The following is a 23,951-nucleotide window of genomic DNA, read 5'->3' as shown; positions in this document are numbered from 1 at the left end:
TGGTCCCTGTGCTGGGTGAGGGGTAGTTTAGGGCCCCGTTCATTCTGCACTTGGACATTCAGCTTCTTCCCAGCAGCGTCCACTGAAGAAGAGATCACTCTTTTCCCAAAGAGGTTCTTGAAACCTTTGTCAAAAATCAGCTGGCTGTAAAACTGCGGGTTAATTTCTGGGTTCTCTATTCTGGATCATTGGTCTATATGTCCGTTTCTATGCCTCTATCTTTGTTCTTTTTGCTTAGGATTGCTTTGGCTATTCAGGGTCCCTTGTGGTTCCATACAAAGTTTAGGATTGTTCTTTCTAATTCTGTAAAGAATGTCATTGGAATTTTCATAGGGAAGTTCAGCATTGCTGACAGCACCGAGCACTCAGAATACATTTTGCATTGATCACAATCTAGTGAACGGAAACTTTTCTTTCAGATAGAAATTTAAAAATGTATGTCCTTTATATACAGAGATATGACACAAATGGTACCCACTATTTTCTAATGTATTCTATTCTAATCCTTTTTTTCCTGACACTTGTCATGACCCACTCGATTTGGCCCCCATGAATAGGCTCACCATCCGCAGCTAGAAACACTGGCCTGATCTCTAGTGCCTGTTCAGCTCTTTCCTGGTTCTCTTCTCTGCCTGGAGACTAACGCCAGATGCAGAGGGGGCCCCCGTGGCCCTGCAGTCAGGGAGGACTGCTGTGGTCACGGGTGTCCAGCCTCGGCCCAGAGCCCCGGCTGTCAGCCCTTGGGTGTTCACACTCCCCAGTTTTTGTTTTCAGAGCAAGTAGGTGGGGCCTGCTCAGGGGGTCCCCAAGCACAGGCCCCTCAGCAGTGCCAACTCTGCCCAGGCCAGGGAACCACATCGACTGGAAGGCCACAAAGAGGAGACCGGGCAAGAATACAGGGTGACCAGGCTTACGACGATGACCATCGCGCAAGCTGACACTCCCCGTATGCCCCACACAGTGAGGGCCATTGTGTGGATCATCTCGTGTAACCCTCACAACAGCCCTGGCGGTGGCTGTGACCATCAGCCCCACTTCTGGGTCTGGAACCGGGGAGAGAGAGGCTGGGGAAGTAACTTGCCCAAAGTCACCAGCCGGGATGTGCTGTATGAGCCTCCCCACACCGCGTTGCCTGAGCCAGGCCACAGCCCTGTCTTCACACTTCTGGATCTCAGGAGTGGAGACCACCCCAGCCTCAGGCCAAGGAGTGCCCAGGCCCGAGGCGGGGGTGTTCCGGGAGCTTCCGCAGGCCCGATAGAAGCCTGTCCTTGTGCAGAGCTGAGCGCGACTGTGTGTGACGGTGACAGAGGAACCTCCACCGGAACTGCGGAAAGGGCTCGTTGGGAGGGTCTTTATTTCCTAATGCCTGGCAGGCTGCCCTATTGTTCCAAGAGCCCCAGAGCAGGGAGAGGTGCAGGGAGGGAGGTTTCAGCTCCCTCTGAGTGACAGCCTCCTCTCAATCTGGGCTCACAGAGGGCCACGGGGCTGCCCTGGGGCCTGCAGGAAGAGGAGAGACTTCAGGGGCTCCTCAGAACCCCAGCAAAGGGCTCAAAGACCCTCAGTTCTAGCTTCTGAGGTTCTCAGAGAGGAGTCCAGTGTGGCTGTAACACCCATTCCTGCCCTGCCAGTTACCCAGGGAAGGGACCATCAGCCAGAAGCGCCCTGGGCTGTGGTGCAGGGTCTGTGTCCTGCCCGACAGCACAATAGGAAGGGGGAGGTCTGAGTGGTGGAAAAAGGGCCCCGAGCTGTGCACCCTCCTGGCCCCAAATATCAACGCCGCTGCCTGTTATTAACCGCCATCACTTCATGCCTCTTCAGGAATGGCGTGGGACACCTTCCTGGGGCACAGGTGTCCGCACTCTCCCCCACTGTCACACTGTCATCCCCTTCCCTTGAGGTTAATCACACTACTATGGCTCTGTTACCAGTTAGCCCCTTGGCGGGGTCCTGGGACCACCTGTCAATAGGCTTCCGAATGGACAAGCGGGGTGGGTGCAGGTGACCTGGAGGCCCCAGGAGGGTCCTGGGAAGAAGGCACTGGACCCTCCCGCGCCTCCGCAGGCAGAGCTCCATCCCTCAGCCCTGAAGCCTCCTCCCCAGGCCCTGAGACTGCCATCGTTTCAGATCCGGTCATTCTTCCATCTGTACACGCATTTAACAGACAGGCATTGCAGCACACGCTGTGCTGGCCCTTGGCCAGGTGCTGGAGAGGCGGTGCCCGGCTGTCTGGGGGCTGGCAGGGCACAGGGAGGCCCACGCCAAGCATGAGGGTAGGGATCGCGCTTGCTTTGCTCAGAGCAGGGACACAGGGGACCCTGGGTGGCCACGCGCAGGAGTGCTGCGTGGGTGTTTCTGCCCCTTGGTCCTCCAGGCACCACTCCTGGCCAGGCGTCTTCACAAGGAGAGGAAGGGACAGACTGCCAGGATGGGGTACTCCCCACCCACATTCCCCAGGGGAAGGAAGCCTGAGGCCACAAACCCCAAGAGACCAGGCCCTGCCACCTCCACAGGACCCCGACATCCAGAGCCATCCTGGGCCCACCCCGGCCCAGTGGCTTCTTCTATTCCCTTCAGGCTGAGCAGGTCGACGCTGTGACCCTGAGTGGCGAGGACATTTACACGGCGGGGAAGACGTACGGCCTGGTTCCCGCAGCCGGGGAGCACTATGCCCGTGAGTGCAGGGCCTGCCGCCTGGCCTCAGCCGGGAGGTGGGGATATTTTTATAAATATAAAAGAGTGCCCCCCTCAGCCATTTTCAAAAGCTCCATGCCTCTCTCCTGGGGATAGTGGCTGCCTGTCACCAGGCCTGCCCCTCCTGCCCCAGGCCTCAGTTTCCCCAACTATTCAACAAACGTCTCTAAGGGGCTGGCAAACTTTCTGTGAAGGACTAGAGGATAAATACATGAGGCTTTGCAGACGACAGACAGTCTCTCTTTCAATAACCTTTTCAAAATATAAAAACCATTCTTAGCTTACAACCCAGGCCATACAAGAGCAGGCCTCGTAGTTTGCCATCTTGGACTACTGGGGCCTCCTCAGCCTCTTCTGGCCCTAAGCAGCCATGGAAAGTGGCCCTTCAGAGTCCCCCTGGCAGCTCATTTGCACCTTCTCAGGGGCCTGGGCTGGGGCTTTGGCCTCTGTCCTCTTACTGGTGACCTCAGAGGCCTGGGTCCCTTCCACCTGGGTGTGAGCAATCTCTGGGCTGTAGGAAAATGCTTCTGCAGCCTCAGCTGCGCCTCCACTTTCCTCCTGGGTAGTGAGAAAAATACCACCTGGGTTTAAGGAAAGAAAGAAGCCCCTGTGGGGAAGGACTGCTGGGGCCAGAGGAAGACAAGGCTGGAAAGTGGAGGCAAGAGGCTGCTTCTCACAGGGGACGCAGGCAGGGGCCCCCGCTGGGCCTGCTCCCAGAACACCCTGGCCTCAGGCCTGGGTACTCTTTGGCCTGCATAGCTCAGGCAAAGAGACAGGAAGGAGTGGGTTTGAAGGAAGGACCCCCCCAGGCACTTGCCCGGGCTCTCAGATGAGGGGCCCCTCACGTGAGTCCCTCTCTCCCCAGCGGAAGACAGCAGCAACTCGTACTACGTGGTGGCCGTGGTGAGACGGGACAGCTCCCACGCCTTCACCTTGGATGAGCTTCGGGGCAAGCGCTCCTGCCACGCCGGTTTCGGCAGCCCTGCAGGCTGGGATGTCCCCGTGGGTGCCCTTATTCAGAGAGGCTTCATCCGGCCCAAGGACTGTGACGTCCTCACAGGTACCCCCCCCTTTTTAGGAACGCAGACTGGGGAAGCCTTCTCTGGGGTTAGCTAGGGACCCGCAGCCTGTTGGGGAGAGGACCTTGTTGGAAGGTGGCCAGGCTTCTGCATATGTGCCCAGGTATCTCCATAAGCTGGGGACAGAAGGACCCACCATATGCTATACATGAAGCCCCTCCAGTGTGTTAGATCACACAATATTCATGGAAACTGGCAAGACCCTTGGGCTGACAGGCCACACACCTCTGTCCTGGCTGTTAACTCAGAAAACATACAAGCACTTTTTTTTCTAACCACTGACACAAGCACACAGAGGGCACTAGGGTTGGCAGCTCCCACTCCCAGACAGCTGGACACCTGCTCTGATTGGAACAAAATAGTGAGGTAGTGAGATCCCTGTCCCTGAGGGAGTTCAAGTGAAGGCTGGGTGATGTTTGGTGATGGAGATGCTGTATCTAGACAACCTCTGCATTCCCCGCACTGAGATCCTCCAGGAGACACTCCACTCAGAGCTGAGGGGAGCGGAGCAGACAGGTGGCCTTGCAGTGTAGGATCCGGGGGGTGGGCAGACCTGTGGGGGAGCGGCCCGCCCAGCTCCCTCCCACACTTTCCACTGCTGGCCCCTCATCATTGCCCTTCCCTCCACCCCAGCAGTGAGCGAGTTCTTCAATGCCAGCTGCGTGCCCGTGAACAACCCCAAGAACTACCCCTCCTCGCTGTGTGCACTGTGCGTGGGGGACGAGCAGGGCCGCAACAAGTGTGTGGGCAACAGCCAGGAGCGGTATTACGGCTACCGCGGCGCCTTCAGGTACCCGGGTGGCCTGGCAGTCTGGGGCTGTGTGCAGAGGCTGGGACCCTCCTGCCGACGCCTGCCCTGCCCTCTGTGTGGCAGGTGCCTGGTGGAGAATGCGGGTGACGTTGCCTTCGTCAGGCACACAACCGTCTTTGACAACACAAACGGTAGGTGGGGGCAAGAGCAGGGCCAAAGGTAGGTCGGGGGGACTGTTCCCCATCTTCAGCACCATCCAGACACCATGCTGGGCTGGGGCCAAGCAGCAGCTCAGAGAGGCTGAGTCTAGAAGGCTGTGCCCCCTGGGAAGCTGGGAGCCCCAAGGGTCACAGGGTAAGAACAGACCTCAGACCACACATCCAGGGGTGCTGGATACATGACGGTTTTTACTGGCCTGGAATTCAAGTCCCTAATCCACCGAAACGGTAGAAACTCAATCCCAGTCAATCTGGAAAGACCCCCTTCTGGGAGTATTGATGTAGTGCCAAGGTGTGAGGTGGGAGTGGCATGAGCCTCTCCACAGGGTCATGAGTTCAATCAGTATCTGGTCTGTGTTCCTGAGCAGGTCACTGCCTCATGCAAGGAAATCTCTCTGCAGCCCCCAAGCCACACCGAGGCAGGGCACGCCCAACATACCACACAGGGGGTTTTCTTCCTGGAGTCACCTTCCTGGGCTCCGCCTGGGACAAAGAGCTCAGGAACGCTCTGCTCCGGGACCCCAGTACATACATGGTCCTATCAGAGCACACGCTCCCCTGACTTATATCACTTCCCCTTCTTCTTGTTCTCCGTGAAGGAATCTGTGTCCGTTTTGAAGACTAGAGGCTGTTTTCCTCCAACACCAAAGGCTTGTACTGTCTGCATACCCTGCCTACACCCCAGGCTTTGAAACCCCAAATGCTGGAGGCCCAGTCTTCTCCACTCGCTCCCAACATGTCTCCTCCTATAGACTTAGCCCAGAAAGGCACAACTGTGGCCCGGTGGGGAGGGGACTGGACAATGGGAAGCAAGACGTGCAGGGAAAAAAACGAAAACCTCAGTTAGTGTTTCAAAACTTGGATCTTGCCTCCTATGGGGGTCACCAAGGCGGTAGGACCATTTGCCCCAGCAGAGCTAGGGAGGGCTCCAGGCCCTGAACCCTTCCTGTTGCCACAGCCCAGCTCCCCCACCCAGCCTCCTACCAAGAACACCTGAAACCCTCCCCCAGGGAGGGGCTGTGTGCTCCTGCACGAGCCCAGCGGGCCTGCCTGGTCCCAGATCTGTGCATGGTGTCGTCTGGGATGGGGTCAGGGGAGGCGGGCAGGTGCTGGAGAGGCCTTGGGAGGTTCACTTGCAGTGAGTCACCCGCCTCCCAGGGCCACTCCTTTCCCTTTTATCTTTAGCTCTCCTCAAGGCCCACCTGGATTTCCTGGAAATGGGAGGAGGATGGATACTAAGTGAATGCACAGAGACATGAAAATGTGATTCCTGAGGGCAGCATTTTCTCAGGCAGCCCGAGACCGCCTGCTTTAGAATCAGTGGGATGCTGGTTTAACATGCAGATTCTTGAGCCTGATCTGAGACCTCCTGAATAAGATTCTTTGCAAGCAAGGGCCCTTGAAGCTGCCTTCTGCATCCACAAGTGATGCTATACCCTGTTCCATTTGAGAACTTCAGCCCTTAGGGACAATCACCCACCACCTTCAGGGAGCCACCCCACACTCAGGCTTGAGGATGTAACACATAGATGGGGTTCTCTGCCTGGGAGTGATTAACAGCCTCAGTTTCCTCACCTGTAAAATGGGGACAAAAACACCTACCCTGCGTTACTGTTGTGGGGATCAAGCAACGCGTGTAAAGTACTTGTCACATAGTAGGTACTCCCTACTCCCTGCTAATTAATGGCAGCTCCTGCTAATGGCATGAACACAGCTGGGTTCTTTCACCCCGGTAACACAGCAGAGCACGTGGAGAATGGAGAGGGTTGGGGAGCTGGCCAGATGTTGCCACCTCCCTGTGGTGAAGGCCTTGGGGTCCCAGGATAGCAGCTTCTCTTTACACTTCTCTCCACTCCCGGAACGTCCCCACACACACTGCTTTACCCCCCTCAGGCCACAATTCCGAGCCCTGGGCTGCTGAGCTCAGGTCAGAGGACTATGAACTGCTGTGCCCCAACGGGGCCCGAGCCGAGGTGTCCCAGTTTGCAGCCTGCAACCTGGCACAGATACCACCCCACGCCGTGATGGTCCGGCCCGACACCAACATCTTCACCGTGTATGGACTGCTGGACAAGGCCCAGGTGAGCCAGGGTGGGGCTACCTCATTGAGGGGTGTGCAGCAGAGGTAAGCTGAGCCCCTGGGAGGCCTCAGTCTACCTGGAGCAGACCTCTAGAGAAATTGAGGAAGCCCGGGGGAAATTCTGTGATTTTCACTTACGCAAGGACATCCCTCCAGAAACTGTCCCCTCTGCCTCCTGCATCGTTGATTTTCCCTTCTCAGTCGGACCATTTTCACCAACATGAAACATGCTGTGACTTCTGCCATCCTTAAAGAACAAACTAACCTCTTGGTCTCACATCCATCCTCTTGCAGCTGTAATCCTGCTCCCTTTTTTTCTTTTTTTTTTGAGACGGAGTCTTACTCTGTCGCCCCAGGCTGGAGTGCAGTGGCACTATCTCGGCTCACTGCAAGCTCCGCCTCCCGGGTTCACGCCATTCTCCCACCTCAGCCTCCTGAGTAGCTGGGACTACAGGCACCCGCCACCATGCCTGGCTAATTTTTTCTATTTTTTAGTAGAGAAGGGGTTTCACCGTGTTAGCCAGGATGGTCTCGATCTCCTGACCTCGTGATCCGCCCACCTCGGCCTCCCAAAGTGCTGGGATTACAGGCATGAGCCACTGTGCCCGGCCAATCCTGCTCCCTTTCGAAGCAAAACTCCTCCAAAGAGTGGTCTGCTCTGGAGTTAACAAGTCCTCTCCTCTGGCCTCTCTTAAGGATGGAGACTGAGTTAGCAAGTCCTCTCCTCTGGCCCCTCTTAAGGATGGAGACTACCCCAGACAGGCTCCCACCAGGGCCCTGAAGCTGTTCTTGTCAAGGTCACAGTGACCCATGTTGCTAAACCCAGTGGCCATTTCTCAGTCTTCATTTTACTTGACCTCTCAGTGGCACTGGCCACAGCTCTCCCTCCTCCTGGAAACACCTTCCCCTGCAGATGCCCAGGTCCTCAGCCCTGCCTGGCTGTCCTCTCACTCTCTGGCCACTCCTCAGTCTTCTCTGCTGATTTCCTCCCCATCTCCCTGACCTGTTAGCCCTAGGATTCAGTTCTCAGCCCTCTTCCCTGTCTACAGCTTACCCTTGATCTCATCCAATCCCATGTCATCAAATACCATCTATATACAGATGGCTTCTAAATTTACATCTTCAGACATCAGTCCCAAACTTGCATATTTAACTACATACTTGACATTTTGACTTGTGTTTCTAACAGTCATCTCAAATGGATCAAGTCCAAAGTTGGACCCCCGTCCCTCCTTCAGTCTTCCCCACTTCAATTAAGAGCAACTTTAGCTTTTCCATTTCCTCGGGAGTCATTTTTGACTCCGGTCTTCCTCTCGTGCTCTACAGCCAATCTATCAGCAGATCCCATTGGTTGTGCTTTCAAAATATACCTAGAATTTAAACCCAGGTTGTCTCACAATGGAGCCACTGGTTTCTAACCACTCCCCCTCCCCCGACTTATGCTGAAATTGCCTTCTCCACACCCACCAGCACCACAGAACTGCAGAGCTGGCTGGCTCGCCAGGCCTGTTCCTAAACTTTGACATTGTGAACTGACGCATGTTCCTTCCTGTCATCTTCCCCACAGAACCCCTCTATCCCAGGAGTGCTTTACTCTGGGTCCCTGGGCTTCCCTAGGGGGTTGCTAAGTCCTCTGAAGTAATGTGGGAGAAGAATCCTGGGTGGATGTGCATTTTTCTGGGGAGAAGGCTGACAGCTTTCATCAGATCTTCAGGAGGATCTGCGAGTCCCTCCAAAAAGACTGAGAGCCACCTGACTCCTTCGTTCCTCCTTGATCAGTACTTAACACTTTACATAGACATTCATGCATGTTCTCCAGATGTCCTTTATTTATATTCGTATTCATAAGTTCTCATACTACTTCTGGTCTTTTTAGTAGCTCTTTTAGGGCTGTAGCCACAGAACGGTCATTCTAGTGATTCTGAGCAGGGTGGAGAGGAGTGCAGCATCCCTGGGCGGGTGGGTCAGTGAAGACACGCCCAGCTCACCTGATATTCTGTGACTGGTTGCAGAACACAAGTCCCTCTCGAAATTGTTTAGGTTTGTGGGGAGATATCTGTAAGACAGAGTGAGAAAGCCTTATGGAAAAGGCCAAGAAGTGCTCAGCAGGCCTAGCAGAACGCTCAGGAATCCCACCCACACCATCCCTCATTTCTGGGTCTTTCTTCCTGGACATCTCAGGCCTCAGACCTGCATCCAGGAGCTGGAGCACCGCAGTGCTTCTGAACGCCTCTTCCAGTGGCACCTGCGGGCCTAGTGTCCCCACACCCGCTTGGGTGACAGAGGCCAATCAGTTGTCAAGCTTATGACTTCCAATCAGAGTGGTGGGGCCCTGAAATGACTTGCTCTTTGGGTCACTGTATGTAAAGCAATTTGCAGCTAGCGGCACTGGGCGGGTGACCCTGCCTGAGCCCAGTGAGGAGCAGGTCGTCTGCCTGCGGTGCTTCCAGGACCTGTTTGGAGACGACCACAATAAGAACGGGTTCAAAATGTTCGACTCCTCCAACTATCATGGCCAAGACCTGCTTTTCAAGGATGCCACCGTCCGGGCGGTGCCTGTCGGAGAGAAAACCACCTACCGCGGCTGGCTGGGGCTGGACTACGTGGCGGCGCTGGAAGGGATGTCGTCTCAGCAGTGCTCGGGCGCAGGTAGGACAGGCCCGCCCTGCCGCCTCCCCTGGTGCTATTCAGACCCCTTCACCCCAGAACCCTGAGGGAGCGGGGGGCGCTGCGGGTCCGGGGAGGCGGGTGGAGGCCCGTTCGCAGCAGTCCAGGTGGGGTGTCCCGGGAGGATTTTGGCCAGGAGGCTGCGGGCCGGGAGGGCGGGAGCCCGGCGGGTCTCCCAGACGGACCTGGGTAATGAGTGTGAACGCTCAAAACGGCGGCGCGGGGAGGATCTGGGGCCACGGCAGAGACATGCGTGTGCTGCCTTTCTGGAAAGAGCGCATCTGGAAGGGCAGCAGGGGAAAGGAGCACAAAGAGGGAGGCTGCGGCGAGTTCGGTCCCGAAAGATGCCCCCACCCCCACCCCAGAGCGGGCGCCTGAGGCGGCCACCGCGGCCCGGGCTTCGGGGCCTGACCCGCCGCGTTCGTCCCCAGCGGCCCCGGCGCCCGGGGCGCCCCTGCTCCCGCTGCTGCTGCCCGCCCTCGCCGCCCGCCTGCTCCCGCCCGCCCTCTGAGCCCGGCCGCCCCGCCCCAGAGCTCCGATGCCCGCCCGGGGAGTTTCCGCGGCGGCTTCGCGCTGGAATCCAGAAGGAAGCTCGCGAAGGCCGGGCCCGGCGTGGGCGGGAGCAGGCGCCTCCCCGGGAGCCCCGCCGCCCACGGGCGCCACCTGGCGCTGCTACCTGAGGCGCCGCCCCCGGGCCCGCGCGGCCCTTCCCGCCAACCGCCGCCTCCCGCCACCTGGAGCCGCGCGGGCCGCGCCGGAGGAGGCCGGTTGCCCAGGAAACCGCTGAGTCCGGGCTTCCCGCCGCCCGCCCCGCGGTGTCGCCCGAGGGGCCCGCCCGCCTCCTCCCCGCAGCCCCGCGCCCCCGTCCGCGAGGCCCCCTGGGGACGCGGTGGCCGCCGAGGCGCCTACACCCGCAGGCCGCGGCCAGGCCGTCCCAGGAGGCCCCGGCGCCAACGGGACCCGGCGCGTGGGACAGCGGCCTCTGCTGGCGGCGGCGGGAGGGAGGCCGGACCGGGGCGACGGGGAGAAGCCTTCGCCCGCGGGACCGTGTCCGGGGTGGGGGCTCCAGTTCCTCCGACCGCCCGTGCGCTGGGAGGGAGGCCGAGCCCGGGGAACGCCGCGTGCCCTGCCTCGTCCCCCACTGTGGCCGCGCCAGCTCCATCCCGGGCCAGCCGCGTCCACGGGCCCCCTCCCGAGTCTCCTCAGGCTCTCGCCTCCCCTACCCCCGTGGGATGCCCACCGCCCGCACCCACGCCCGAGCCTGGCGGCAGCAGCCGCCCCCCGCCTGAAGGGAGCCGGAGGTGACCCAGGCCGCGGGCTCCCGAGGCCCCTGAAGGGCTGCGCGTGGGGACCCGCCATGCTTCTGGGTTCCGAACGGGGGTGAGCTCCGTCTCCTCACCCGGCCCCGCACCCGCTGGGCCTGGGGACCCCTCACTCCCCGTGCCCGCCCCTCCGCGAGGCAGCAGAAAGCGCCCGGCCGGGGCCTCTCTCTACTCCATCTTGCCACAGTTGTCTGAGAAGCCAGAAAAAGTTTCCAGAACTGGCAGCCCTTAAAAAAAATGAAGAGGAAGAGAAGAAATGGGAGCAGGCAGCCCTCGTCAGCAGACCGGGAGCCGCGTGGGCGCGGAGCCATTTGCATTCCGGTCTGCGGGGGCTCGGGGATGCTGGTGACAGGCCCGGTTCCCGGTGGCTCGCCCCCACCTGCGGGCGTCGGGAAGGATCCCTTCCATCTCTCAGCCGCAGAGGAGGCCCTGGCAGCGCCCCGGCTGTAGCCATGCAACCCCGAGGAGTCCCGGGCACCTTCACCCCACCGGGAGGGGCCACAAGGACCTGGGCCTCGGCCACCAAGCTTTGTCCCCTCTCGCTGTGGGGGGCTAGTGATTCTCCTCCGACCTGACGATTGCTTGGTTTTTTCAAAAGGGAGTTTTGTGCGGTGAGAAGTGTGTTTCTGTGTGGCTAACTCTGGGCTAGCGTGCCGTGGCCATTGAAGGTGTGGCCTGCGTGGGTGCAGTGTAAGTGACGCTGGATTGTCAGGTGGCAGCAGGGGACCCCTGCTGTGTCAGTGCTAATGAAACATGTTGGTTGGTTTCTAAAATAAAGCCAAACAAGCCAGCACATGCAGAGGCTTGGACCCTGATAGAAACTTCTGCTGCCGATTTCTTTCGTTTTGTTAGGCACTCAAAGGCCTACCTGCTCCACCGAGAAGGGCAGATTCCATTCTCCAAGAGCCAGTCAGGGACCACTCTCATCCTCTAGTCAGTGAGGCCCCCCGCGCCCTTCTTCGACCTGGACTGGTTCTCTGGCTCTTGCAGGGCCTCCGCTGCCCTGGCACATTCCAGCTGCCTCCACCCCATCAGGCTCTGGGGTGTCTGCCCTTCTGTGGATGGGTGCAGAGAAGGGTGCAAACTTCTCTGCTGCCCCCTGCCCCACACCTCCAAAATAAGCGGCCCACATCTTTTCTCTGGCAAGCTCGCTGCTAACTCACTGGAGGGGGGCGTGGGGAGCGGATCTCCCAGAGACCCTACAGTGGGTGCTCTGTGGTATCTACTGAGGTGGGGGTGGGCCCGGCTGGTCTTCATCAGTGCTCTGCTCTCCCTCTGGAAGGGGAGGTTTTCTCTGCTTCCCTCTCTCATGGCTTCACTTGGCCCCCACACCACCACCCCTCGCCGCTGTGGCCATCTCCCAGAGCCAGGTCTTGCCCACCACTGCACACAGGCCATTTTCCATGAAGTCGGCTCAGTTATCACAAAGCCAGTCAATTCCTGGGGACCTGGATGGCCAGAGTTGACCGACTTTGTCTCTGCATCACATGGACGAGTCTCAGCTGCACAGTCACTCCAGCTCGCCTCATGCTACCACTTCCCTACCCTGAACTTCTGGAAAGGAAAGTTAACCTTTGGGCACCCTAGCCCCTCATCTGAAAAACACACAGTACGATCACCAGCTTGGTGAGGTGGTTGTGAAGATCCAGTCTAAGATGCAAAACACTCAGCACAGTGCTTGGCACACGGCATAGAGACTAAGACACAAAACACTGCACAGTGCTTGGCACACGGCATAGAGTCTAAGACACAAAACACTCAGCACAGTGCTTGGCACACGGCATAGAGTCTAAGACACAAAACACTCAGCACAGTGCTTGGCACACGGCATAGAGTCTAAGACACAAAACACTCAGCACAGTGCTTGGCACACGGCATAGAGTCTAAGACACAAAACACTCAGCACAGTGCTTGGCACATGGCATAGAGTCTAAGACACAAAACACTCAGCACAGTGCTTGGCACACGGTGGGTGCAGGAAGGATGTTCACTGTCACTACTGCTATTACTCCAGAGCCTGTTTTCTTGTCTTCAATTTGGAATTCCTGGGAGAGATCATCTGATTGGCCCAGTGTGCGTCAGGCATCTACCACTGGACCAGTCAGCACAGGCCAGAAGCAGGGTGTATAGCGGACACATGGCCACCGAGGCCCCAGAAAAAGGAAATGAAATCCTTGTGAGTCAGGCAGCCATGCCCCAGCACCCCCATGGCTACCAGGCCTGTTGTAGGGCTATTGGCCATTTGTTGAGCAAATACTTACTGATACCTACTTGTCAGTACCACCCCTAGACCTAGGCAAGAGGGATTCTAGTCCTCGGTTTTGTGCTTTCAAGCAGTGCTTTTCAGACCTTGATGTGCACATTAACTGCCTGGGGATCTTGTTAAAATGTAGACTCTGGTTCAGAAGGGCCAGCATGAGACTGAGAGTCTGCAGTTCAGACCAGCTCCCAGGTGGTGCCTGTGCTGGTGGTCCAGGGACCACACTTTGAGAAGCAAGCCTTCAGAGGCCTCCCCCAGACCACACCCCACACCCCACCCACAGAGGGAGCAATCACAGGGAAAAGGGATGCGTTCACTCAGGGGTCATCTTTTCTTTTTTTGAAACGGAGTCTTGCTCTGTTGCCCAAGCTGGAGTTCAGTGGCACAATCTTAGCTCACTGCAACCTCCGCCTTCCGGGTTCAAGTGATTCTCCTGCCTCAGCCTCTCAAGTAGCTGGAAATACAAGCGCCCACCACCACACATGGCTACTCTTTGTATTTTTCATAGAGATGGGGTTTCACCATGTTGGCCAGGATGGTCTCGAACTCCTGACCTCGTGATCCGCCCACCTCGGCCTCCCAAAGGCCTCCCAAAGGGATTACAGGCATGAGCCACCGCACCTGGCCCCAGAGCCCATTTTTCACACCATGTTCCAGATACCTGGGATCCTGGACTTTATACCTCAAACAGCCCTGAGCCAGCTTCCAGGGTCTGGAGGGCCCCTTACCTAGATCCTGCCTCCCAAGGTGGCCAAAGCTCTCGCAGGAGGTGTAGTTGAGCGTGATGAGCAGGCTGCCGTGTCCTCTGCAATGCGCAAGGCCCTCGAAGCGTGGGTTGCAGCCTGGATGGGAAGAGAGCGGGTGGGCTATGGCGGGGAAGCCTGTTCTGTCCGCAGCTCCTATTCTAGGCTGCTGAGTCTTTATAAAGGTTTGTTTGTCAAAGTAGGAGGACAGGACACATTCTCTTTAATAGCTTGTTAGCTTGATTTGTAACATTTAATGTGGAGCCACATGGTAGGCGGGCCTCTGTTGGTACTCTTGTCCTAGGCCCCACAAGTGCTTGGGGTCGGCCAGCCTGCTGTGTGCACAGCCCTGTGCTCAGCGCTCTGGAAGGTACAAAGAAGTAAGTACACGGCCTACTAGCCCTGCCCCCCTTGGTCTCATTTGGAGAGGCCACCGAGGTGGTGTGGTAGAAGAACACTGCTGTGCAGGAGGGACAGTGACAGGATAGACAGGGCCTTGTGGCCCACACGGCACAAGCCGTCACCCCCAGCTTCAGACTCCTCCCCAGGTGTTCTTGACTGTTTACAATGAGGATGTGTTCCTCAGGACAACATTCTTGAAAAAGATTCACACAACATTTACAATAGGTATAAATGCTACAATTTTTTAAAAAGATATATTAATTAGGCTGGGTGTGGTGGCTCACCGCTGTCAACCCAGCCCTTTGGGAGGCTGAGGTGGAAGAATCGCTTGAGCCCAGGAATTTAAGACCAGTCTGGGCAACATAGTGAGACCCCATCTCTACAAACAATTTTTAAAAAAATTAGCCCAGTGTGGTGGCCCACACCTGTACCTCCAGCTACTTGGGAGGCTGAGGTGGGAGGATCACTTGTGCCTGGGAGGTGGAGGTTCCGGTGAGCCGTGATGGTGCCACTGCACTCCAGACCAGACCCTGCCTCAAAAAAAAAGATATTCCAATTTTGTGGAATAAAAACCAGCTCACTCACCTAAGATTCAGGAAACTTGAATTCTCATTCCACTTTGGTATTCACCCTGGGCCAATACTTTCTCCTCTCCCCATCTCAGTTCCCAAATCTATAAACTGAGAAGCGGGTATGGGGCCTCGACGATTTCTAGCTCTAACAGTAATTCTTAGACTAAAACACATCTGAGTCTTCACGGGGTTGTTGCCTGTGCTGAAGTGAGAGGGGCCGGGTGGGCTCTTTTTGTTTCTGCCTTTCTCAGCTGCCTCTGCGTTGGTGCTAACAAGCCAGAAGCTGGGTTTCACAGCGGAGAGTCATATACGTCAAAGCTTCTCGCCTTGAGCGTATGTGAGGATCACCTGAGGGTTTATTAAAACATAGACTGCGAAGCTGGGTGCAATGGTGTATGCCTGTAGTCCCAGCTACTTGGAGGTTGAGGCAGGAGGATTGCTTGAGCCCAGGAGTTGAGGCCAGCCTGGGCAACATAGTGAGACTCCCATCTCTAAAAATGTATATATTGGCCAGGCATGGTGGTTCACGCCTGTAATCCCAGAACTTTGGGAAGCTGAGATGTGAGGATTGCTTGAGGCCAGTAGTTCAAGACCAGCCTGGGCAACATAGGCCCAACCTCTACACACACACACACACACACACACAGACACAAAAGTGTTTTTAATTAGCCAGGCGTGGTGGTGTTTGCCTGTGATCCCAGCTACTCGGGAGGCTGACAGGGGAGGATTGGTTGGGCCCAGGAGTTTGAGATTGCAGTGAGCTCTGAGCTATGATTGCACCATTGCACCCCAGCCTGGCAGGTTCTCAGGTGGTCTGATGCTGCCGGTCAAGCCACCTCACTTTGAAGAACACTGTTCAGGGCAATGTGAGCTCACACCCCATGAGCGCATTAACAGGTGCCTGCCCCAAGGTGTCCAGGGCTTGGGTGGGAAGGGTGAGTGGTTCCCCCTAACCAGGGAACTTCATGGAGGAAGTTGGGCCCAGCCTGGAAGACAAGCCAGGTCTGTGTCCGTGGCCCCCGTGGGCTCCATGTGGAGGGGTGGAATGTGCGGGAAGGTGCCTCAGCGCCTGGCCCGGGTCTCCGAGCACGCAGGCTGTCGGTAGAATGGCATTCTGACTTCACCCTTTCCCAGCATGCGGCTCCCCCGTCCCTCTGGCCCTGCACTCCCCACCCTCACAATTCCGAGCAGGGCCCTCGAGAACAGGAGAGAACTCAGAGATCAGCATGTGAAGGTGGTGCGTGGTCGGAATACCCCCCTTCCTCCTTCCTAGCTTCTGATGTCCCTGGAAACCTCCAACTCTACAGAAAAAACAAATGTTATCTGCTCTACTGAAGTCAGTCTTTGGGTCGCTGGAGGTTGAAGAGAAGGGCCTGGTGGTTTACCGGGCAGGGCATCCTTAGCCAAGATCCCCATCCAACAACTTGTGGCAGACTCTGCTGCTGGTCTTCTCCCCTTCTTCCTGTCTAGCAGACTCCAGTTTTGTTCGGGTGGCAGCGTGCCCAAGTACAAATACTCACTCCTGCGTGCCCAGGCAACTCGGTTCTGGCTGAAGAAACCTGAGAAGTTTCAGGGCAGCTGTTTAGGAGGAACAAACAGCTAGCACAGCCCATTGCCCCGGAGCCCGTCTCCCTCTTCCTGCCCGGAAAGTGGACAGGATCGCTGGAAAATGGAGCAAGAAGCACAAGGAAAAGGACCGCATGGTCAGGACAGCAGAGCAAAGAGACAAAAGCGTTCGGCTCAGGTGGCAGCACCCAGGCCTGGAACAGTCTAGACTCCCTGACAGCTGATTCCTGTCTTCTCTTGTTTCAGCTGGCTGCATTCTGAATTGATATAAGTGGTAACAGTGGAAAGAGCCCGAGATGGGCCCTTGGGGCTCCCAGGCTCTTGTCTTGGCTTTGTGTGGCTCAGGGAAAGTCACGGCCGCTCTGTGGGCCCTGTTCCTTCATCTGTGGGGTGACCCAGAAGGCCTCCAGGGTCTCCTTAGGCCCTTCTGTAGCTCAGATTCAAGAACCAGAGCTGGTCCCAGCTGAAAGTTCCCGAGATGGGCATGAGTGGAGGGTTTCAGGGATGGGGCAGGAAGTCACCTTGTGAACAGGTGACACCTGGGGTTGGGGGTCTTCTCAGTGTTCAGCCAAAAGGAACCCTTGAAGCACAGGATTTGAGGGGTCTGCAATATTCAGTCCAGTTGTTGGAAGCATTTTAACATCCCAAAGGGGAATTGTTTCTAAGTATCTCTTTGACTTCGACCTTCGGATTCACATTTGTCCCTGGAAGAAGCCCCAGGGGATCTCTGCAGACCCGTTCCCGGCCCCACACGTTTTGTAAGTTAGGTGGGATGGCCGGTTGGAGCTGCCTCAAGAGAGAAGCCTGAGGCCCTTTTAACTGGTGGCAACCAGGTCATGAGGCAACCTCTGTGATGTGTGGGCCAGCTTAGGCCTGTGTCACGTGGCAGAGCCCTGGTTCTGGGGGCAGAGCCATCCCCTCCAGAGTACAAGGTCTGAGACTGGGGAAGAGGAAAGAGCAGGGTACTGTCAGTAAAGAATGAAACAATAGAAAATAGATGCAGGCTGCCCCAAACCACACCATCCTCCACCCTGGCCCAGCCACAGCCCTATCCTGGTGTGGATTCCTTACAGCACCTGTCGGTTCTGTGAGCTTTCTAGGGAGGCGGGAGGGAGGGGGCCTACTGTCTCAGAGGCAGAATGCACCAAAAGCACTTTTCAAAGGCCATCTGTGGGCAGAGGCACTAACTGGAGACTGCAACAGATGTTTTCATGATCGAGCTAGTGTGAGTCGGCTCAGAACAGTCACCCTCCACAGAGGCACCTGTGAGCCTCCGTTAAAGAGGACGATTGGCCACATTCCACCACGAAGCCTCTGGGATTCTGCCTGCTCCCTCCTTCTCTTCCTGCCCTCTTTGGAAGGCCTCCTCCAGACTCCAAGCCCAGCCTGTGATGGAATCACCGTAGCCCCAGTAAACCAATCTGTGACCGTGGGACACACTGCAGGGGTGGAGAGGAAAGCTTGCCTTTGAAAACAGTAAAATACATTCACCTATGTCTCTTCCCTTGGCAAAAAACTGTGTGTGTGTGTGTGTGTGTGTGTATGTGCATGCACCTGCATGTGTGTGTGCGTGTGTGTCTGCATGTCTGCGTGTCTGCATATATGTGTCTGTGTGCTGTATGTGTGCGCGCATGTGTGTGTGCGCATGTCTGTGTGTGTCTGTGTCTGCGTGTGTCTCTGTGTGTGTATGTGTGTCTCTGTGTCTGTATGTGCGCGTGTGTGCATGTCTGTGTGTGCATGTGTCTGTGTGCGTGTCTATGTGCGTGTGTGTCTGTGTCTGTGTGTCTATGTGCATGTGTGTGCATGTGTGCATGTGCATGTGTGTGCATGTGTGCATGTGCATTTGTGTGTGTGCATGTGCGTCTGTGTACGTGTGTCTGTGTGTGTCTGTGCTTGTGTGTGCACGTGTCTGCGTGTTTGCGCGTGTTTGTGCATGTGTGTCTGTGCATGTCTCTGTGCATGTGTGCGTGTGCGTGCGTGTGCGTGCGTGTCTGTGTGCGTCTGTGTGTCTGTGTGTGCGTGTGCGTGTGTGTCTGTGTGCGTGTCTGTGTGCGTGTGTGTCTGTGTGCGTGTGTGTCTGTGTGCGTGTGCGTGTGTGTCTGTGTGTGCGTGTGTCTGTGTGTGCGTGCGCGTGTGTGTGTCTGTGTTAGGGGCAGGGGAGTTGCAGTTTCACTGCAAGGCATAGTTTTAAGAAAGGGAGGCTGACTACAAATGTGTACACAATGGTGGATACATGTCGTTATGGATACATGAATCCAAATCCACGGAGGGACAACTGTGGGCCCTGAGTGACAACGCTGTGTAAAGGAAGGGCTGTGAATTGTGACACACGCACCACTCTGAAGGATGTAGTGAGAGCTGTGCCTGTGTAGGGGCGGGAGGTAGATGGAAAAATCTCTGTACCTTCTGCCCAACTGGCCTGCTCTTTAAACTGCTCGTAAATATAAAGTAAGTCTGTGTTTTTTTAAAAGGCCTCACCCGGCCAATATATAGGCCACAGTCTGATAATGGAGAAACTACCCCCATCGCCTCCCAACCCCCTTTCTTATTATCCACCCCTGACCAAGTGCATGAGAATTGTCACCCCTATGGTCATCTGGCTGTGGGTCTCTCCCCTTCCAACTGTGAGCTTGACTTCTTCGATCCCACCGTCTCAGTTCCTGTGCTGGGGCCTGCAGAGAAGCAGCGGCACTAGGCCAAGCCTTCCTTCCCACCGGGATGCCCTCGGCCTCCCAGCCGCCTTCGGCCCGAGTTTCTTTAGCCCACTTGCCTCCTGGAGGAAAAGCCGAGCCCCCTGCAGAGCTGCAGGCCGTCCTCAGGCCCCCCAGACTCCAGCAGGAAGCCGAGCAGACTGTCATGGGGACGACTAGTCACGACTTTAGATATGGACTCGGGGCAAGAGCCCCTCTCTGCCTCTCACACAGAACTTCCCGAGGAGAAAGCTGTCTCCTCGTGTGTGTGATTCTGCTGCCCTGGCCCCTTGGGGAGGAGCCCTGGATTTCCTGAAAATGAGGATCTGCCATTGCAATGAGGCAGCACAGTACCCCTGCTTGCTGTAGGGATTGTTCTTGAAGACCAACCTGCTGAAATGGACCTAAGACAGCAGCTGGACAAATGGCCAAGACAGAGGTGTCATCGTGCCCGTGCCTCAGTTTTTTGTAATAAGAGACATACTGGAAACAGCCTAAATGCCCAGTATTAGGTTGGGTAAATGAAACACGGTTCATACCTTCATTCCCAGTGGAATGCAATGGATGATGGTCTACAGCTGTTAAATGAAGGGTGCAGCTACATTTACCGATGTGGAAAGAGTTCCACGGCATATTGTTGAGTAAAAAGAGCAGGTTATGAAACAGTATATAATCCCATTATCATAAAATCTCACATACAAACTCACACGCACACTCACACACACAGAGCTGTCTGGAAATCTGTTCACCAAACTGTTAACGGTGACTAGCTCCAGTTGGTGGAATTTAAGGGGTAATTTTTACTTTCTTTAAACTTTATTTTAGTTTCTTTAACTCTTTGTTTTGAATTTTAAAGCCTTTTAAATATCTAATCAATATCATTTTGGAATGAATAAATAAGCAAGCAAATACAAAGTAAAAGAGCTGGGCACAGTGGCTCACGCCTATAATCCCAGCACTTTGGGAGGCCAAGGCAGGTGGATCATCTGAGGTCAGGAGTTCAAGACCAGCCTGGCCAACATGGCAAAACCCTGTCTCTACTAAGAATACAAAAACTAGCCGGGTGCGGTAGCGGGCACCTATAATCCCAGCTACTCAGGAGGCTGAGGCAGGAGAATCGCTTGAACCCGGGAGGCAGAGGTTGCAGTGAGCCGAGATTGCGCCACCGCACTCCAGCCTGGGCGACTTAGCAAGACTCCATCTCAAAAACAACAACAACAACAAAAAGTAAAAGTAAAACTTCCACTGTCCCAAGCACAGTCCCAATGTCACCTCTCAACTCTGAACAACGCAGGTGGCCTCAATGAGGAGGCTGAGGAGGCTGCGGAAGGAGCTGCAGCTTGGGGCTACTCAGTCCTGGATGTGGACGTGGGGGATGTGGCCCTGTGACCAGCTGTGTGGCCTTCAAGCTGTCGCTTAGCCCTTCAGAGCCTCCACGTCTTCCCTGAGTGCCTGCCTGTGGGCTGGCTGGGAGGGGATGCAGGGAGGCACCCACAGCCCAGAGGCTCCTCAGGGCTCCACAGCCCACAAACGTGTGCCTGAGCAACGTCCTCTCCAGCTTCCCCAACTGCTAATGGTCCTGAGTGCACACTCCTGCCAGGCTGGGGCAGACGCAGGAGGAAGAAAGGGAAGTCTAGGAGACAAGGGCATCCTGAGGAAAGTAGACGAAAATCCAGGCCCAGCTGGGTCAGCGACAGGTGCCCTAGCATCAGAACCTGGGAGGGCTCGGGGGAGGAAGGGGAGGGCCTGAGCCCAGGATGAAACAGGCCGCTTCGGGCAGCGTGGGCCCCAGAAGATCTCCTCCAGCCTCCTCCATCCACTACCCTTCGCTTATTCACACTGTTGGCTCCAGGGCGCTCCCATCCCGCCCAAACCCCTCTCCCTAGTTCTCGGGCTTGTGTAGGATGCTAGAGCTGGAAGGGACCGCGGTGAATCAGCTTGGCCAATCAGCTCGCCTCACCCCCTCACAGTTCAGGAAACCAAAGCGTTTAGGAGACAGGGCTTCCTGCTGATGAGGACGCAGCCATCACAGCTCCGGACTTGAACCCAGGGTCTGGTTCCCGGCTGTGGCGTAACAGGACACAGTGTGCGGGACCAGCCTCCATCAGCACATCCCTCCCACCAGCTCCCCACCCGCTCTCCGCCGGGCGAGTGGGAACAGCTGTGCCACAGCCATGTGCCTGGTCCTGCTTGCCAGCTGGCCGGCAGGGGACGCAGCACCAAGATCCCATTTTAGAGTCTGTTCCTAGGATCCTTCCTGGCACCAACTGTCACAGGTTGGGTTCCCAGGAAAACACTCGAGGACGGAGATTTGTGTGCAGGCTTCTCAGGGAGTGCTCTCACAAACAGTGCCTGCCAGGGGGTAAGAAGCCACGGGACGGGCAGAGAGAGGAGTGAGTGCCATGCAGTAGCCAGGAAGGCCCCGGCTGGTGAACCTTCCGAGTTATCTTGCCTTGAGGCAAGAGGGCCTGGCCTTTCTATCCCTACGGCAGCCCTCATGGACACAGGTTTGGAGATGGGGGCGACCTTGAGCAAGGTGGTTCTCTTCAGCTGAGGGCACCTCCCAGAGAGAAACCCAGCTGGGCCCCACCAAAACCATCAACACTCCCGGAAGCTGCAGGAACCAGAGCCTCTGCCCTGAAGGGGCACTGGCCAGGGCCCCACAGCGGCCACTACAGAGAGGGTGGTGACCTGCCCTGAGATCAGGTCGCCCGTGAATGGTGGCCCTGAATTCACTTCCAGAGCACCAAAGCCCACACCTTAATCCCAGTAAACATATGAATATCTGACACTTAGAGGGTGGGCTTATGTGCACTAGGCCCTGCCTATAAATCTCATTGTTTAACCCTCAAAGCAACATCATGAAGTATCAGTATTCAAGACACAGTTTACAGATGAAGAAACTGAGTCTTGGAGATGATAGGTGATATGTTTGGCTGTGTCCCCACCCAAATCTCATCTTGAATTGTAGTTCCCATAATCCCCACAAGTCATGGGAGGGACCCGGTGGGAGGTGATTGAATCATGAGGGCGGTTCCCCCCGGGCTGCTGTTCTCGTGATGGTGAGTTCTCCTGAGTCTGGTGGTTTTATAAGGAGCTTTCCCCCCTTTTGCTCAGCACTTCTTTCTTCTCCTTCTGCCATGACTGTAAGTTTCCTGAGGCTTCCACAGCTCTGCACAACTGTGAGTCAATTAAACCTATTTTCTTTATAAATTACCCGGTCTCAAGTATGTCTTTATTAGCAACATGAGAACGGGACTAATACAACGGGTAACTTGCCCAAGATCACTCGGCTAATAAGCCAGATTGAAGCCCAGGCAATCCGATACCAGAGCCGCTACATGATCAGGCCACACTGATACACTGGACCTTGCCCGGTAGCTTGTGGATAACATCCATTTCAGGGAGAGAGTGGTGAACTTTGACCTTGGCAGGCTGGTGGTCTGCAGACTGATAGTGGCTCCAAGGAGGCAGAAGCTGCCTGGGATCTTTCCATCCCCGCAGCCTCCCTGCCCTAGTCCCCGTGAGCTCCAGTGCCCAGGGGGGCGCAGCCGGGCCGGAGAAGTCATCCCCCTCAGCCCTGCTCACAGCCCATGTCTGTAGAGCAGCAGGTGCCGATACCAGCCAGGCAGCCTGGGTTTGGCCACACAATCTCTGCAGAGCCCTGGTGCCTTGGTTTACAGAGCTGTAAAACAAGAGATTGTCCCTATTATCATCAAGCTCGTGGCTCCCTCGGGTCTCTCTGAGAGGGGTGCTGGTGAAAAATGATGATGGCACACACAGCAAAATGTGGGTGCTGGCTGTGTCCTGCAGGGTCACCAGGCCCTGCAGAGGTTGACTTGGACAGCCAGCCACCCCACATTCCTTGGGAGAGGCACCTTTCCTCCCACCTGTGAGAGGCTGTCCTGAGAACCAAGATCTTCATTCCTCAAAGGTCTTGAATGCGTGAAAAAGGAGGCTGCCCTAGGGAAAGAGACCAGAGGTCCCCGGGCCATCCTTCAGCCCAGCTTTTCTCTGTCACACTCCATGAAGAGTCTGTATTTGGGAAGGGCCTGTCTCCCCTCCAGGCTGCCAGCGAGCCCCTTAAGGGCAGGGATAGAGCCTGCCCCTGCCCAGTACATTCCCAGTGCCCAGCCTCACCTGCCGCAGAGCAAACACAGACAGTGTTTGCTGAACGCATGAATGAGATGAGTCGTTAGTTTTGCCTCCTGGAAGTTGGACTGGTCCCGGGGGAGTTCCAGGAATACTGAGGAGCTTGGTCCTCCCTGGCAACTCGTGGTGTGCAGAGCTGATTTTAAAAAGGATCACTGTTGGCATCGGGGCTGGCCAGTATCTGTCCCTGGTCCGGAGGCTGACCCCTGTCCCAGGGGGTGTGTGTTGGTTTGCCAGGGCTGCCGTAACAAGGTGCCACAACCTGAGTGGCTTACGCGGCAAGCGTATCGTCTCACAGTCCCGGAGGCCGGGCGTCTGACACTAAGATGTCAGCAGGGCTGGTTCCTTGGCCTGCAGAAGCACCACCCACACTCAGCCTCTGTCTTCACACGGCACTCTTCGTGCGTCTGTGCCCAAATTCCCCCCTTTCAGGAGGACATCAGTCATACTGGATTAAGGCCCATCCTAATGACCTCATCTTAACTAATGACATCTCAAACAACCCTATTTTCAAATAATGTCCCATTTTGAGGCAGTGGGTGGGGGTTAGAACTTCAACACAGGAATTTGGGAGGGACACCACTCAACCCATAGCAGCTTGTGATTGTTCTGTTGGTCAGGGCTGGGCACAGAACACCCCGTAGGCTCTCTGCCCCCCTCCCCCACAACCCTTGTTCCCTACCCTCACCAGTGCTAATATGAAGATGATGAAGATGATGTCCAGGTGACGTGCCAACCCAGAGAGATCAAACCATCAG

At 56.2% G+C, this 23,951-nt stretch overlaps 1 protein-coding gene, 1 long non-coding RNA gene and 1 pseudogene across 5 annotated transcripts in view, besides 4 other annotated features; 2 read left to right on the top strand and 1 right to left on the bottom strand.

The window, feature by feature from the left end:
- Window positions 1-11,629, top strand: part of MELTF (melanotransferrin) — a 28,078-nt gene extending 16,449 nt beyond the window's left edge. Inside the window, exons 10-16 of one of the 4 annotated variants that reach the window (XM_047448150.1) lie at window positions 2,575-2,671; window positions 3,557-3,751; window positions 4,407-4,560; window positions 4,645-4,712; window positions 6,633-6,820; window positions 9,270-9,468; window positions 9,918-11,629. In XM_047448150.1, the coding sequence (XP_047304106.1) occupies window positions 2,575-2,671; window positions 3,557-3,751; window positions 4,407-4,560; window positions 4,645-4,712; window positions 6,633-6,820; window positions 9,270-9,468; window positions 9,918-9,997 (981 nt within the window). In that variant the 3' untranslated portion in view covers window positions 9,998-11,629. Of the gene's footprint in view, window positions 1-2,574; window positions 2,672-3,556; window positions 3,752-4,403; window positions 4,561-4,644; window positions 4,713-6,632; window positions 6,821-9,188; window positions 9,469-9,917 lie in introns of all 4 variants that reach the window. The other 3 variants (XM_006713643.4, NM_005929.6, XM_011512850.3) reach the window with 3 other exon arrangements.
- MELTF-AS1 (MELTF antisense RNA 1) lies at window positions 8,625-10,463 on the bottom strand. Its single transcript, NR_038285.1, has 4 exons — window positions 10,396-10,463; window positions 9,399-9,767; window positions 9,010-9,272; window positions 8,625-8,875 (listed from the first exon to the last, which is right to left on the bottom strand). It is a non-coding gene; the product is annotated as an MELTF antisense RNA 1 (long non-coding RNA).
- Window positions 9,505-9,904: a silencer, noted in NCBI's record as "silent region_15082". NCBI's record gives its function as "represses an Ori minimal core promoter by ATAC-STARR-seq in GM12878 lymphoblastoid cells {active_cell/tissue: GM12878}" and the evidence as "EXISTENCE:reporter gene assay evidence [ECO:0000049][PMID:35858748]".
- Window positions 9,945-10,734: a silencer, noted in NCBI's record as "silent region_15081". NCBI's record gives its function as "represses an Ori minimal core promoter by ATAC-STARR-seq in GM12878 lymphoblastoid cells {active_cell/tissue: GM12878}" and the evidence as "EXISTENCE:reporter gene assay evidence [ECO:0000049][PMID:35858748]".
- Window positions 10,885-10,964: a silencer, noted in NCBI's record as "silent region_15080". NCBI's record gives its function as "represses an Ori minimal core promoter by ATAC-STARR-seq in GM12878 lymphoblastoid cells {active_cell/tissue: GM12878}" and the evidence as "EXISTENCE:reporter gene assay evidence [ECO:0000049][PMID:35858748]".
- RPSAP30 (ribosomal protein SA pseudogene 30) lies at window positions 12,946-22,777 on the top strand (annotated as a pseudogene).
- Window positions 22,277-22,571: a silencer, noted in NCBI's record as "tiled region #2091; K562 Repressive non-DNase unmatched - State 7:EnhWF". NCBI's record gives its function as "represses a minimal TATA promoter and a strong SV40 promoter by Sharpr-MPRA in K562 cells {active_cell/tissue: K562}" and the evidence as "EXISTENCE:reporter gene assay evidence [ECO:0000049][PMID:27701403]".

The sequence above is a fragment of the Homo sapiens genome, chromosome 3 (genome assembly GCF_000001405.40).
Source record: "Homo sapiens chromosome 3, GRCh38.p14 Primary Assembly".
In the NCBI taxonomy this organism is placed as follows: Eukaryota; Metazoa; Chordata; class Mammalia; order Primates; family Hominidae; genus Homo; species Homo sapiens.
Note: the sequence above shows the minus strand (reverse complement) of the source record. Positions and strands in the feature narration are given on the sequence as shown.